We start from the raw sequence: 16,653 nt of genomic DNA, 5'->3' as shown, positions 1-16,653 counted from the left end.
GAGATATGATTGGTGGACAGCATTTTAGGTAGACAGAGAATAGAATGAGCTAAAGTGTAGAGATGAGAAATTTGAGTACTCCAGTTGTCTAGACTAGCACTGTCCGATAGAACTTTTGTCCATGAAGGCAATGTTGTATGAACGTTCTGTCCAATATGGTAGCCACTAGTGGCTGTTGAACACTTGACATGTGGATAGTGTGACTGAGGAGTTGAAGTTTTTATTCTATTTAATTTTAATTAGTATACATTTTAAAACCACATCTGACGAGTGCCAGCTCAAATCATAGGATACACGGAGAGGAGTTTAGTGTGATAAGATCCAAACAGATTGGCAAATTTCGAAGAACTTTACTGCTAGGCCAACACGTTTAGATTCCAAAATAGAACAAACATATTTAGAAGCAGGCAAAACAAAAGAATACGTTTATGAAGGAGACCAAAAAGTTGCAGAGAGAGAAATAGGAAGGCCAGGAATCCAACAAGGAATGGGCATTGAAGAAAGACTTGCCTCGTACTGTTAGTTAGAAGCCAATGGATATGGGAAGAAAATTTGTTAGATTTGGTAATTCAGAGCTTCTTTGTGACTTTCAGAAAAAAAGTTTCCCCTGAGTGGTAGAGGTGAAGAGAGTATTGCAGGAAATTAGGAGTAAGGTATGCTGAATAGAGGCAACATGGAACAGCCTTTTTTTTTTTTTTTAAATGTTTGTATTCCTAGAGTTATAGGATAAAGCATTACACACTAAGTTAGTCTCAGCAAGTACTGTATATTTGCCAAGTAAGTGGAGTTCTTGCAGGCAAACTAGGTAGTTTCAATGCCAGGTGTGAAATTATAATGGTTTAGATAAAATTTTGAAGCAATTCTACAAATAAGTACTCTGAGTCATGACATTTTTAGGCCACATTGAAAACGCTAGCTGAAAGAATACAAACAATGTTGAAATCATATTTAAGCCCCTTGCTGAGTTTATATTCTGAGCTAAGGATAGATTAGCCTCATGCCCTTATATGATGAAAAATTGTTTTGTTTTTCTTGCACAGCACAGTTAGGTATCAGATAAAGGGGGAGGAGTATCCTCATGGATACCTCAAAAACAAGTAACCCATGGACGGAGGACAGAGAAATTTCATGCAAAGACAGATTTTCCTATCTCTTATGATTAAATTCTCTCAGTTTCCTCATTATGAAAATCATTTGGGATACCTGATAAATGTACAAAATCTTCTGCCTCAATTCATACTGGTCAATATAAATCTTAGCTTGGCGATCTGAATTTTTAATTAGCACCTGAGCGATTCTTAGTATCAGGCAATTTTAGGAAATGTTTATTTATTCATCCTTTGAACAAACACCAGTGGAGTGTTTTTTCCATATTGCAGACATTCAGATACTAGGACACAAAGATAATTAAGACATGGTTTCTAGTCTTAAGAAATTGTTCTAGGAGAGGAGACAGTAAATGCCATGTAAGAAATGGCTTGGTAGCTGTTGCAAAAGGACCACAGAGAAGGGCAGCTCAGCATTGAGGAGACCATGGAAAACTGTGCTTGGGGAAGGTAAAGTTTGAGTAGGGTATTCAAGGATAAGCCAACCAGATATACAGGGAGTGTGAGAGAAAAGCACTCTTTTCAGGATAAACGTCACATTAAAGACAAGAAGAGATTGTGTTGGGTCTATGAATACTACTGAATTCAACACAGCTGGAAAACAGGTTTTCCATGAGATAATGGCCTGTGTGGCAACAGACAAAGGCATTTTTGTACCAGAGCACAAAAATAAGTGCCTAGTTATTTTCAAGGTAATGTGAAATCATTAAAGGGTAATCTGGGGTTGGTGAGATTGGAGATAGGGAGACCCATTAAAAACTTAATACATTAATTCAGGTGAGAGGTGATGGTGTCTGACCTAAGGCAATAACCACAGAGGTAGAATGGAAAGAACAGTTTTTGATAAATAGTTGGTGATTTATTGTGTATGACATAATCAGACGATAGTTCTTTTGATCCTTTTATTAATATTGTCTCAATGAAATGAACTGAATTGCTGAATAATTGATTTTGTAGATGGCTCACATATGGCTCACATGATACATTTGGCCATGATGGGGAACATATAATTGTTTGCTATTTATACCTATGGTGACTTCTTAAATTGGATTGCTATTGGACAAGATTTTCAGTATTTATCCCATTGATTTAAGGAGACACCAACACAGAGGATGGTCTCAGAGGTTTTCACAGTCGCTTCTGTGGGTATCCCAAACTCTTTGATATTATATAGGTGAGGAAGTATGTATTGCTTACTACTTTTTAAGTTCTTCCTAGTATTCTGGCCCTTTAACAGTTTATTCTGTTTGTTTGTTTTTCCTTCTTTGATTACTTACAGTTGTAATACCTTTTAAAGACATTTTATATCTCTTCCTTGACTTATTCCAAATTTAAATTAATACATAGAATATGTATATTTACAAAATATGTTAACTAAATGAATTATTTTTGAATTATTTTGAGACTTTCTAAAATAGTTTAAAGTATCTTGAGTCGTCATGAAACTAACTTTGAAAGGTGCTGATTTAAAGTGACAATATTTGTGGCCATGCAAGAAAAGAGGCACTGGACATTTTAATAAGCAGTTTAATAGAATTTAAATATATGACATCCAATTACCGACAGAATACAAAGCATCATAAAGTATGATTTGCAGACATATTTTATAAATTGGAACACCTTAAGGATTCATGGCATTTGTGTAAAATGTGTGGTCGTTAACACATTTTAATACATTGATTCTATTGTGGAAGGTCGTGTGACATGGAATGTTAAACAATTAAAATGGTCAAATGTACTTCCATGTTTATGTGATTTGCATTCACAGGAAGAAAATGGGTAATGCCGAAGGAACATTGGCCTAGAGAAGCTTACTGAAGCAAGGGAATTTGGAGTGAGACTTTCTCCCGCTGCGGCTTTCTGCCCCCACACCGCGGCTTTTGCAGCTTTTTGCCTCCGCCGCCGCGGCGTTTTGGTCCCCGCCGCCGCGGCTTTTTGTGGTTTTTTTGCCCCAGCTCCCACTGCTTTTTGTCCCCCCCGCCGCGGCTTTTTGCCCCCGCCCCGGCGGCTTTCTTCCGCCGCGGCTTTTTGCCCCCGCCGCCGCGCATTTTTGCCGCCGCGGCTTTTTGCCCCCGCCGCCTAAGCTTTTTGCCTGCGCCGCCGCGGCTTTTTGCCCCCCGTCGCCGCGGCTTTTTGCCGCCGCGGCTTTCTGCTCCCGCCGCCGCGGCTCTGAGGGCGGGAGCGGCAGACTCCGCTGCCAGCTCTACTGGCGTCCTGGCAAGGGCAGCGCCGAGGGGCGCTCCCGGTCCAGCTCTCCCGGCTCGGGGGTTCCTTGCCTAGGCGCCCGAGCCCCGGGCTCCCTGCCTCGGCCGCTGTGGCCTGCATAGGGCGGCACTGCGCGCGGAGGCGATGGGAGAGAAGAAGGAGGGCGGTGGCGGGGGTGATGCAGCGGCCGCTGAGGGTGGCGCAGGGGCCCCGGCCAGCCCGGGGCTGCAGCAGTGCGGACAGCTCCAGAAGCTCATCGGCATCTCCATTGGCAGCCTGCGCGGGCTGGGCACCAAGTGCGCTGTGTCCAACGACCTCACCGAGCAGGAGATACGGACCCTGGAGGTAAGGGGTTTGGGGACCCGGGCTGGGCTCGAGGAGCGGCCCGGACACCTCCCTTGAGGCCCCAGTTCACTCCTGGCCGAGTTGCATCCTTGAGCCCGCGTCGCGCCCTTGGAGGCTTCCCCTCCCTCCTGCACTCGCTGATGCGGCAGCCGAGAGACCCGGGACCAGCCCTCACCTTGGGCAGGATTTGTGGGGCGGGTGCTTGGTGGGAACTGGGATGGAGGCGCTAGGGTCCCGTGGGGCGGGTCGGGGGGGTGGGGGTGGGCTGCGCGCGGACATCCCCTTACCCCCCGAATTTCCATCTGGTCCGGCCCTCTCATCTTGTAGGTGAGGAAACCAAAGGCCTGAGGGAGAACTGACTTGCCAGGAACCCCTGTTAAGGAGAATTACCAAAGTGTGGTTATTAAAGGAGAACTGAGTTGGGAGTCAGACCTGGAGTCCCACACCCTTGGTTAAGTCATTATACCACCTTGAGTCTGGCCTGTTGACTGAGGGTGAGCCACTCCATCCTCGTCTGATTGTGGGGTCTTGACCTCAAGGGGTTTCGTGCAGGAAGAAGCAAATGGGTTTGCTTTCCTAGCTCTGTCCAGTACCTTAGGGACCCTGAGGACTGAAGCGATTCTTGGAGAGCCATCTGGTGTATGTCATGCGTGGGCCTTTCTTGAAGGTCTGTCTGCCCAGTGGGCTGGCTCAGCCCGAATGAACTGTCTTGAATCTTTGGAGTTGTCTGTGTACTTTTAAGGGCTTCTCATCCTTGCACCAAAAGATCCCCTGGAAATTAGGTGGGAAAACCTTACCTTTTGTGGGGCCTTGTGTTTGTCTTAAAAGTTCATGCACATGGCCAGGTGTGGTGGCTCACACCTGTTATCCTGTCCTGGATCCCTTGAGTCAAAGAGTTTGAGACCAACCTGGACAATACAGTGAGACCCCGTCTCTACAAAAGATAAAATATTAGCCAGGGGTGGCTGTGCGCATCTGTAGTCCCAGCTAGTACTGTGGCTGAGGCGGGAGGAGCACTTGAGCCTGCACTGAGCTGTGATCTCACCAGTGTACTCCAGCCTGGGCCACAGAGCAAGACCTTGACTCAAAAACAACAACAACAACAACAAAAATTCTTGAAGATTTTGCATTCTGTCCCACTATCCATTGGTTTTCATGTCAAGATAATGTGAGAAATTCTTTACAATTGCTTCCAGAAGGAATAGCCTTTTGATTTAGTGCACAGGTGTCCAGTCTTTTGGCTTCTCAGGCCCACATTGGAAGAAGAATGCTCCTGGGCCACACATAAAATACACTAATGCTAACAACAGCTAATGAGCTTAAAAAAAAAAAAAAAAAAAAAGGTTTGTGCAGAATTTTGATGATACCCACCACCAAAGATAGGCGGAAAAGTCCTTGTAGTCACAGGGTTGGACACGGCTGATCTAGTGTCTTGTCATCCGTTTTGGCTTTCTCCCGGTTTCCAGAATGCAGGTAGAGATGTAGAGACGTGCTCTCAGGACAGCTGTTGAGATAAAAAAATTCGTTGTCATTTATTCCCAAGGACAGCTGTTTGTCATTTGCATTGAAAAAGTCTCCATTCAAACTGCTGTCACATATAAAATCTATTTATATAAGTCTGTATTTTTCTGTTGTCTTGGCCTTTGTGGGCAGTAGTGTGTTTTAACCAAGCAAACTGTCCTTCCAAATAATGAAGCCGAAGTCAGCCTGCCTGCTTGCCATTTTTCTTCCCCTTCCATTTTTCTAACCTCAGGATAGTTGTAAGAATGAATTAAGATTTGTGTTTAAGGCCGGGCACAGTGTCTCAGGCCTGTAATCCCAGCACTTTGGGAGGCGGAGACGGATGTATCACTTGAGCTCAGGAGTCCAAGACCAGCCTGGGCAACATACTGAGACTCCGTCTTGTATAATTAAATTAAAATTTAAAAAAAGAAGAAAAAAAGACCTGTGCTTAAAATTTAAAAAAAGGGGGGAAAGTGTAATGCAAAATGTGGACTATGCCAGCCATGATTGGGAAAAATAATTTTTCATACAGCATTATCTGTAGACTTGTATTAGCAGCATACTGGTCATAAGCGTTTTGCTTTCCTCAAATATGATGAGGTAAGCTACTTTAAAGTGTGGTGGGGCTTTCTTCCATGTGGCTCCTGGAGGTGTTGAGTCCCAATTTAGCCAATTAATTTGGGTTTAGTTTTGATATGGATAAGGGAGTCCAGCTTCATTCATGGTGCACACACAGTTTTGCCAATAAGGAAAAAAAAAAAGCCACCTGAATGTTCCTACTCATTAGATGCTATCTGGAGAGCTCCTTCCCCACCCGCACCAAGGCCCGGGCCCTTAAAAAGACTCAGTGCAGCCTTTCTGTATCTCATACTGTATTCTGCAAGATGCTCCTGTGAAAGAAAGTTGTGCTGCACCAGCCATCTCCCTCCTGAAGATCCCTGCGGATGAGGATTTGTGTTTTAAAGGTTCTGAGAAGTCCTGCAACAACAGTTCTCAAACTTATTTGTCCAGGGGATCTTTTCTTCCACTGAACGTAGTTGGGGAGACACGGCCTTAAGCCTTGAGCAGAGAAAGAGACAAGAAACTGTTGGCTCACTTACAACCAAGTGTTGTGTTTTATGTTTTAGGTTTTTATGAAACTGAGGTGCTGTTTGAGGTTCTAAATCAAACTGGGTGGTTGAAGAGAGGCTGGTATCCCTGTAGACTTAGCCAGCCATGAGAGGTTGCCTTTTGTTGAAGGAGGTGTTTTACAAAGGGAAATAGGGTGTCTCCTGGGCATCACATTAGCACTTAAATACATGTATCACTGAAATGAAATGAAATGATGAAATGAAATGATCAAATGAAGAAACGAAATGATGAAATGATGAAATGAAATGAAATGATGAAATGATGAAATGATGAGATGAAATGAAATGATAAAATGATGAAATGAAATGATGAAATCGAATGATGAAATGAAATAATGAAATGATGAAACAAAATGGTGAAATGAAATGAGGAAATGAAATGAAATGATGAAATGAACTGATGAAGTGAAATAATGAAATGAAATGATGAAAAGAAAAGATGAAATGATGAAATGAAGAAATGATATGAAATGATGAAATGATGAAGTGAAACAATGAAATGAAAAGATGAAATGATGAAATGAACAAATGATATGAAATGATGAGATGAAATGTAATGAAGTGATGAAGTGAAATGATGAAATGAGGAAATAATGAAATGAAATGATGAATTGATGACATGAAATGATGAAATGAAATGACGAGATTAAAAGGTGAAATGAAATGATTAAATGAAATGAGATGAAAAGATGAAATGATGAGATGAAATGATGAAATCATGAGATGAAGTGAAATGATGAAATGAAATGATAAGATGAAATGAGAAATGGAATGATGATGAAATGGTGAAATGAAGTGAAATGAAATGATGAAATGATGAAGAAATGATATGAAATGATGGAATGAAATGATGAAATGAAGTGAAATAATGAAATGATGAAATAAGGAAATGAAATGAATTGACGAAATGATGAAATGAATGACGAAATGAAAAGATGAAATGAAATAAATGAGATGAAAAGATGCTATGAATTGATGAGATGAAATGAAATCATGAGATGAAATGATGAGATGAAATCATGAGATGAAATGATGAGATGAAGTGAAATGATGAAATGATGAGATGAAATGATGAGATGAAATAATGAAATGAAAGGATGAAATGATGAGATGAAATGATGAAATGGAATGATGAAATGAAATGATGAAATGGTGAAATGAAATGAGGAAATGAAATGAAGAAATGAAATGAAGTGAAATGATGAAATGAAATGAAATGATGAAATGAAAAGATCAAATGATGAAATGAAGAAATGATATGAAATGAAGAAGTGAAATGATTAATGAAATAATGAAATGATGAATTGATGAAATGAAATGATGAGATGAAAAGATGAAATGAAATGATGAAATGAGATGAAAAGATGAAATGAAATGAGATGAAATGAAATCATGAGATGAAATGAAATCATGAGATGAAATTATGAAATGATGAGATGAAGTGAAATGATGAAATGAGGAAATGCAATGATGAGATGAAATGAAATGAAATAATGAAATGAAAGGATGAAATGAGATGAAATGATGAAAGGATGAAATGAAATGATGAAGTGATGAAATGAAATGATAAGTCAAATGATGAAATGATGAAATGGAAAGATGAAATGATGAAATGATATGAAATGAAATGATGAAATGATATTAAATGATGAAATGATGAAATGAAGTCAAATGAAATGATGAAGTAAATGAAATGAATTGATGAAATAATGAAATGATGAGATGAAATGAAATGATGAAATGATGAAATGGAATGATGAAATGAAATGATGAAATGGTGAAATGAAATGAGGAAATGAAATGAAGAAATGAAATGATGAAGTGAAATGATGAAATGAAATGAAAAGATCAAATGATGAAATGAAGAAATGATATGAAATGATGAAATGAAGTGAAATGATTAACGAAATGATGAAATGATGAATTGATGAAATGATGAGATGAAAAGATGAAATGATGAAATGAGATGAAAAGATGAAATGAGATGAAATGAAATCATGAGATGAAATTATGAAATGAGATGAAGTGAAATGATGAAATGAGGAAATGCAATGATGAGATGAAATGATGAAATGAAATAATGAAATGAAAGGATGAAATGAGATGAAATGATGAAAGGATGCAATGAAATGAAATGATGAAATGAGGAAATGAAATGATAAGTCAAATGATGAAATGATGAAATGGAAAGATGAAATGATGAAATGATATGAAATGATGAAATGATATTAAATGAAATGAAGTGAAATGATGAAATGATGAAATAAGTGAAATGAAATGAATTGATGAAAAATGAATTGAGATGAAAAGATGCAATGATGAAATGAAATGACGAAAAGATGAAATAAAATGAGATGAAATGAAATGATGAGATGAAGTGAAATGATGAAATGTTGAGATGAAATGATGAAATGAAATGAAAGGATGAAATGAAATGAAAGAATGAAATGAAATGATGAGATGAAATGATGCAACAAAATGATGAAAGGATGAAATAATGAAATGAGATGAAAAGATGAAATGAGATGAAAAGATGAAATGAGATGAAATGAAATCATGAGATGAAATGATGAAATGATGAGATGAAGTGAAATGATGAAATGAAATGTTGAGATGAAATGATGAAAGAATGAAATGAAATGATGAGATGAAATGATGAAATGAAATGATGCAACGAAATGATGAAAGGATGAAATGAAATGAGGAAATTAAATGAAATGATGAAATAGATGAACCAAAAATACTTATTCATTTTTTTTCTTGGCATCCTTCTAAGAGTATTTTAGTGAGGTTAATTTCTAAAACTAAATTGCTATTCAATGGCTTTACAGTTGGCCTTTGCACCACAGGGGTTTGAACTGTGCAGGTCCACTTAGCAAAACCAACAATTCTACATCCTTCTCCACACCCTGCCCATGAAAAGGATGAGGATGAAGACCTGTTTGATCATGTACTTCCATTTAATAACTAGTAAATATATTTTCCTTATGATTTTCTTTTTCTTTTCTCTGGCATGTTTGTTAAGAATACAGTATATAAGACATATAACATATTAAATATGTGTTAATTGACTGCTTGTGTTATTTGTAAGGCTTACAGTAGGCTATTAGTAGTTAAGTTTTGGGGGAGTCAAAGTTATAGTGGATTTTCTACTGTGTAGGGGGGCCAGCACCCCAACCTCCGTGTTGCTTAAGGGTCAACTGTACATGTTATTTCCTTTCCTGTAAGAGAAAAATGATGAGAAGGTCTTTTCTCCAATAAGTGTATTCAAAATGTAGCAGACTTGAAATGTGTTGGCGCCACCATTTTGCGTCTCACTTTGAAAACTTATTATTAAAAATCGTACTAAAGCCTTACTTTTCCAACCTTAGAAAAAATGTTACAAAGAAAAGGAGTGAAACCATGCTAGTTTGCCCTGAAATTTGAAATTATCTTGTAAAAATATATTTTTACATTAATTGCTTCCAAAATAGAGATCAGTTGCATACAAATGGCAGGTCACCCTAATCCACCCTATGACTGCACTTAGATTCATGAGGAATTGTGCCATCTAGAAAGGACAGAGAAGAGGAATAGAGTGCTCTGCGTCTTGAAATATAAACATGCACATAGCCACATGCTTTGATTCTGTTATCACTGTGTACTTACTGCTAGGAAGAGGGCATGTTTGTGTATTTTTATGCTAATTATTATGCAAGTTGTTAAGGATTTAGGCTTTCAGAACCATATAAAGGTTTTTTCCTTTCAGATATAAACTATCTTGCATTGTTCTTCTGATCATATGAGGGATAAATTTGCCTAAATATTCTTCAGACCATAATGTTATGTCCATATAAATGCCAGTAGCAAGAGTAGAATCAACCACAGCTGCCTTTGTAATTATTAAAAGCATGTGTGCCTATAAGTAATTGGCATTTTATATAATCAAGAATCTTTGATATAATAATCTCTCAACTATTTGAAACATGGCTCACATATATTAATTTTATATGCAAATATATGTATAATATCATTGTATATGAAACTAAATTTTGGACTGTAGAACAGCTTCTTAGAATCTTGACTTAAATGTCCACAGTAATATTTGACTGAAAAAAATTTAGCACACTGTCACTATGATGAAAAAATTACTATAAAATTATTTTAAAAATTTTCCACCCTAACGTTTAGAACATTCTCACATTTGTGGTTAAAACCTATTGTGATTGTTCCTAGAATTTAGATAAAAAATGTTCCAGAAAGTTTGAAGAGAAGCACTTTAGTCAATTTGTATTTGTTCAAGCATGAAGAAATGGCATTTCATTGACATTTTAAAAACTATTCAGATTCCCTCTTTGAATTCAAGTGTTTCAAAGATATCTTATTTTTAAATACCAAAATAGGAATAGAATATGAAGGGCTGGTTATGAGTAATATGATACACTTTTATGAGAGGATGAGATTACAATAACAATACCTCCTCTCATAGAATAACCAGCAAGTCTCCACTAAATAACAGTGCCTTGATTTTATAGATGTTTAATCTTGGATATTGAGTTAATGTGAACCATTTGTAGACACAGGAGTTTATTAAAGAGTTATATAATATCTTTCAAGTATTTAGAATAGTGTTGAAATTAAGCCTGCATCCCCACGATTTTCAGCGGTGCTGATGCCTAATAAACTCAACCCCTTGCATGCCAAAATTGGCTTAAAGCCCACCCGTTACCCAAGCTACACTTCAAGCATCAAGGCTCAAAAATGTAATTTTAAATATGCAAGAGTTTGAGGAATTCACTACTCACACTTTCTTGAACAGTCTATCCAAGTGCATCAAGCAAAATGTGAGTAAAGAAATTTTGACCAAAGGATTGATAGTAATGTTGAATACTTTTAATAGTAGATCTAAGATTAAAAGGTGAGAGTGAGGGTGAGAAGAGTGTATGAATGCTTTGTGTTCTGACAAAGAGAATGTAGCACCCATGTCCTACGTGCTCGGTTGCATTGCCAGTGCCCACGGTAGGCTATTTTATCCCAGTTTTTAGTTTTTTTTGTTTTGTTTTGTTTTTTTCTTTTCAGGAGAATTAGTCCAAGACCAATAACTCCATAACTGGTAGAATTGGAAGACTTCAATAGTGCTTAACATTTTGTACATAGCTTTATAACAGTTTTCTTTTTCTTTTTTTCTGAGAGATTCTTTTCAATATACCCAATCATGGTCGAACTCAAAGTCATTGCTTATTTAAAATCTACAACTGCTGACGTTTTGTATCCTTCACATTCCAGGTAATTGGTTTTTTTGTGCATTTTCTGTATTTTTCTCCATCAATCTGCCTAGATATTTGTTAGATTTAATATTTTAATATTTTTCTGAAAAAGTGACCTTTTGCAGTTTTAAACATATACTCAGTTGTTTTAATTCTGCTTTTTCATGTACTATTTCCTCGGTTTTTTTTTTGGTTTTTTTTTTGATACTATGTGGGAAGCCAAGTAATTTAAAGGAAACTTGGATAGTAAGGACTCAGAGGAACGGAAGTTAGTTGGCTGATTCAGATGTTTGGTGGCATAAGACTCTGTTAGTAATCTAGGCAAGCAGTAATGACAGCATCAAGGGAGTGAGGATGGACTGATAGTGTAGAATTTAAGATATAAGGTAGAATTTGCTTCCTTAATGAGTTCAGGTTTGCGTGTGTTGGGTACAAAAGTTTGATGGGACATCCGTGAAGAGAATTCCAGCCATAAGTAGTTATAAAGGTCTGGAGATCAGGAGAAATCAGAGCTAAGGGTAGGTATTCGGAGCCATCAGTATTTAGGGAGTATGGGGCTACCCAGAAAGAGTGAGTGGATTGAAACAGAGGCCAATGATTTCAGACCAAGGTAAACAGAAGTGTGCGCTTTGATTTTTACAGGGGGAGGAAAAACCCATAATTGGTGTTTGAGCCTGTGAGAACAGTACTGTGGGCTCCCAGCATGCTTTGCTGGGTTTGATCTGTTCTAGATGTTTTTATGCCGTCAGTCTGTGATTCTCCTTCCAGATGTGGGGTAGAGTGCATAGTCAGAATATAGCCAGAGCAGCTGACAGAGGTCAAGATTCATTTTTAAGCAAAGATTCAAGAAGTTAAAACCACACACAAGTGTTTTACTGGGCATCCTTATCCAACTACCCTATATCTTCACTTTGAAAATAGTTTAAACATTGCCTGAGAGGACACAGAACTAATAGACTTTTGGAATTCTTCTTTGCAGGCCTGTAAATTACTCTCTGATGACTATGAACAAGTGCGCAGTGCTGCAGTCTAGCTTATCTGGGTTGTCAGTCAGCTCTATCCTGAAAGGTCAGTGCGGGTGTAAGCTGGCTTTTGTTGATTGTGAAGCCGTTTTCCTCTCCTCTCACCATGCAAAAAGCCCACTTCTAGAAAAGAAATGTTGGTTAGATTTTTGGAAGGCAATGGGGAGTAAGGGAAAAGCACAGGCCCTGAAAATCAGATTGCCTGGTCCTCATTTTTCATCTCTGATAGGAACTTTCTGTACACCTTCGGAAAGACACTTCTTTTGTCCTAATCTTCTCATCCATAAGTGAAGAAATTGGAATATCTTTCTTAAATGGTTTTCAGTACTTTACAAAAAAATCTTTAAAATTGTTTGGGACCCATTTTAGTTTGGCTTGCGCCAAATGCCAGACAAAGATACCAGATGAGTTTGAGAATAATGATCTCTTATGTAGTTTTCCTGGTTAAAAATATTTTCACAGCAATTAAGTTAACCACAGTGATTCTTTGAGGAGGTAGGCAATATTATTTATTATATTTTGTAAGATAGAATATTACATTTATAAATATTTATCTTTTATTTATAAATATTTATAGAATATTTTATTTTTCCTTGTATAGGAAAAAGAGGTGTTTTTTCCTCTTCATTAAACTGCCAAAATTTGAAAACCAGAATGGATTAATAAACCTGTAGGAGTAGGCTCCATTTGTAGTAGACTCCATTTTAGGACTTAGACACATACAAAGAAAAGGGCTAAGTGGAAATTGTCTCTTCTTTTAGGACTGGATTGATAAGTAAGTTTTATATTGATTTATTCTGAGATTTAATGTATTTATAGAAGTTCAGTCTGGACACGGTGGTGCCTGTAATCCCAGCACTTTTGGAGGCCGAGGTGGGCGGATCACCTCGGGTCAGGAGTTCAAGACCAGCCTGGCCAGCATGGTGAAACCTCATCTCTACTGAAAATACAAAAATTAGCCGGGCATGGTGGCACACGCCTGTAATCCCAGCTACTAGGGAGGCTAAGGCAGGAGAATCGCTTGAACCCGGGAAGTGGAGATTGCAGTGAGCTGAGATCGCACCACTGCACTCCAGCCTGGGTCACAGAGCAAGACACTTTCTCTCAAAAAAAAAAAGAAGAAGAAGAAGAATTTCAGTTACAGAAGATAATAAACTTAAGGATATGAAATATTCGGTGGAAGCTAGTTTTTGATAATTTCATAAATCTTTGAACCTTTGGTGGGTTACGTACTTTTTTTTTTTAAGGCAGGGTCTTGCTCTGTGGCCCAGGCTGCAGTGCAGTGATGTGATCTCGGCTTACTGCAACCTCCAACTCCTGGGTTGAAGCAATTCTCATGCCTGAGCCTCCCAAATAGCCGGAATTACAGTTGTGCCCCACCACACCCAGCTCATTTTTTGTATTTTTAGTAGAGATGAGGTTTTGCCATGTTGGGTAGGCTAGTCTTGAACCCCTGGCTTCAGGTAATCTGCCCACCTCAGTATCTCAGTGTGCTGGGATTACACGCCTGGCTGAACCTTTGGTGAGTTACACACTTTTATTCAATACATTGAAAATTTGCACCTGATTGCAGTGGCTCAGCCCTGTAATCCTAGCACTTTGGGAGGCTGAGGCGGGCGGATTGCTTGATCTCAGGAGTTTGAGATCAACCTGGGCAACATGGTGAACCGTCTCTACTAAAAATATAAAAAATTAGCTGGGTGTGGTGGCATGCTTTTGTAGTCCCAGCTACTCAGAAGAGTGAACTGGGAGGATCACCTGAGCCCAGGAAGTTGACACTGCGGTGAGCAGTGCTCATGCCACTGCACTCCAGCCTGGGTGACAGAAGTGAGACCCTGTCTCAAAAAAAAAGCATAATTTGCAATGCAACTGAAAGAGTTGGTTTGTACTCCTAGAGTGATTTGTTTATTTCAAACTGTATTTAATCATTCTAGGATTTGAACTATTCAATTATCATTTTTGTGTGTGTCAGTCTTCATTGACTGTTCTCAGTTTATTGAGCCTGCAGCCTTACTTACTTATGTATTTATTTGTTTATTATTATTATTATTATTATTTGAGATGGAGTCTCGCTCTGTTGCCCAGGCTGGAGTGTAGTGGCACTATCTCGGATCACTGCAACCTCCACCTTCCAGGTTCAAGCGATTCTCCTGCCTCAGCCTCCTGAGTAGCTGGGATTGCAGACATGTGTCACTGTGCCCAGCTAATTTTTATATTTTCAGTAGAGAGGAGGTTTCACCATGTTGGCCAGGCTGGTCTCGAACTCTTGACCTCAAGTTATCCACCTGCCTCAGCCTCCCAAAGTGCTGGGATTACAGGCGTGAGCCATTGCACCCAGACTGTATTTATTTTTTGAGACAGGGTCTTGCTCTGTCATCCAGGCTGGAGTGCCGGGGTGTGATCTCAGCTCACTGCAACCTTCACCTCCAGAGCTAAAGTTATGTTCCCACTTCAGCCTCCCAAGTAGCTGGGACTATCAGCGCATGCCACCATGCCTAGCTAATTTTTGTATTTTTTTTGTAGAGATGAGGTTTTGCCATATTGCTCAGGTTGGTCTTGAACTCTTGGGCTCAAGCAATCTACCTGCCTGGGCCTCCCAAAGTGTTGGGATTATAGATGTGAGCCACTGTGCATGGCCTGAATCTGCAGACTTAGGTTCATGTTTTGTTCTAAGTGATTTCATTTCTTTTCTTTTAATTTAGCATTGTCCCAATTCCTTCTTCTAATGAAGAAATACGCTTAGTTGATGATGCGTTTGGAAAAATTTGTCACATGGTCAGTGATGGCTCTTGGGTGGTTCATGTTCAGGCAGCAAAACTGTTGGTAAGTTATACTTTTTATGTATGTATGAATGCATGTATATATTTATTTGTTTTCTTTTCTGTAGAAATGAGGCCTGTGTGGCCCAGGTTGGTCTCAAACTCTTGGCCTCAAGCAGTCCTCCTGCCTCAGCCTCCCAAAAGACTGGGATTATAGGCTGGGTGCGGTGACTCACACCTGTAATTCCAGCACTTTGGGAGGCGAAGGCGGGTGGATCACGAGGTCAGGAGATTGAGACCATCCTGGCCAACATGGTAAAACCCCGTCTCTACTAAAAATACAAAAATTAGCTGGGGCATGGTGGCGCACGCCTGTAATCCCAGCTACTTGGGAGGCTGAGGCAGGAGAATCGCTTGAACCCGGAGGTGGAAGTTGCAGCGAGCCAAGATCACGCTGCTGGACTCCGGCCTGGTGACAAGGAGGAGACTCTCATCTTAAAAAAAAAAAAAAAAAGGCTGGGATTATAGATGTGAGCCACTACACCCAGCCAATAATCCTTTTTTTAAATGAACACATTGCTTGTTAAGTTTTTACAAACATTTTGAGAAACTACAGATGGGGCAGTGTGACCTGAATTTAAAACCCCAGAATTTCTTTTTCTTTTTCTTTTCTTGAGACAGGGTCTTCCTCTGTTGCTCAGGCAGGAGTGCAATGGTGCAGTCACGGCTCACTGCAGCCTCGACCTGCCAGGCTCAAGCGATCCTTCCACCTCAGCCTCCTGAGTAGCTGGGACTACAGGCATGTGCCACCCTGCCTAGCTAATTTGTATTTTTTGTAGAGATGGGGTCTTGCTTTGTGCCCAGGCTGGTCTTGAATTCCTAGGCTCAAGTGATCCTTCTGCCTTGGCCTCCCAAATTGTTGGGATTACAGGTTTAAGCCACTACTCCCAGCCCCAGAATTTCTTAATATAGAAAGAAATAGTTCACTCTCCTGTTCACTTTTAGAACTAGAAAGAATCTTAAAACATAATTCTATTAACCCTACTAGGAATTAAGATAGCCGGAGCCTAGAGAAAAAGGAAAACAATAAAAAAAAAGTTTTTCCCATTTATTAAGCACTTGTTATGTCCTAGTTCAGGAGGCTCAAACCCCCAGGCTGTGGACCAGTCCTGGTCCATGGCTTGTTAGGAACCAGGCCACACAACAGGAGGTGAGTGGTAGATGAGCAAGTATTACTGCCTGAGTGCTGCCTGCTGTCAGATCAGCAGCTGCATTAGATTATCATAGGAGTGTGAACCCTATTGTGAACTGAGCATGTGTGGGATCTAGGTTTCATG

At 39.3% G+C, this 16,653-nt stretch overlaps 2 pseudogenes across 2 annotated transcripts in view; one reads left to right on the top strand and one right to left on the bottom strand.

The window, feature by feature from the left end:
• Positions 1-270: 270 nt before the first annotated feature.
• LOC124901800 (uncharacterized) lies at positions 271-3,662 on the bottom strand (annotated as a pseudogene).
• Positions 3,169-16,653, top strand: part of LOC101929322 (integrator complex subunit 4 pseudogene) — a 62,731-nt pseudogene continuing 49,246 nt past the window's right edge. The window contains exons 1-3 of one of the 2 annotated variants that reach the window (NR_157838.1): positions 3,169-3,656; positions 12,515-12,603; positions 15,260-15,380. The product of NR_157838.1 is annotated as an integrator complex subunit 4 pseudogene, transcript variant 2 (transcript). The remainder of the gene's footprint in view (positions 3,657-12,514; positions 12,604-15,259; positions 15,381-16,653) is intronic. The other variant, NR_157837.1, reaches the window with a different exon arrangement.

Source organism: Homo sapiens, chromosome 7 (genome assembly GCF_000001405.40).
Source record: "Homo sapiens chromosome 7, GRCh38.p14 Primary Assembly".
Classification (NCBI taxonomy): Eukaryota; Metazoa; Chordata; class Mammalia; order Primates; family Hominidae; genus Homo; species Homo sapiens.
This window is presented reverse-complemented; position numbering and strand designations above follow the sequence as displayed.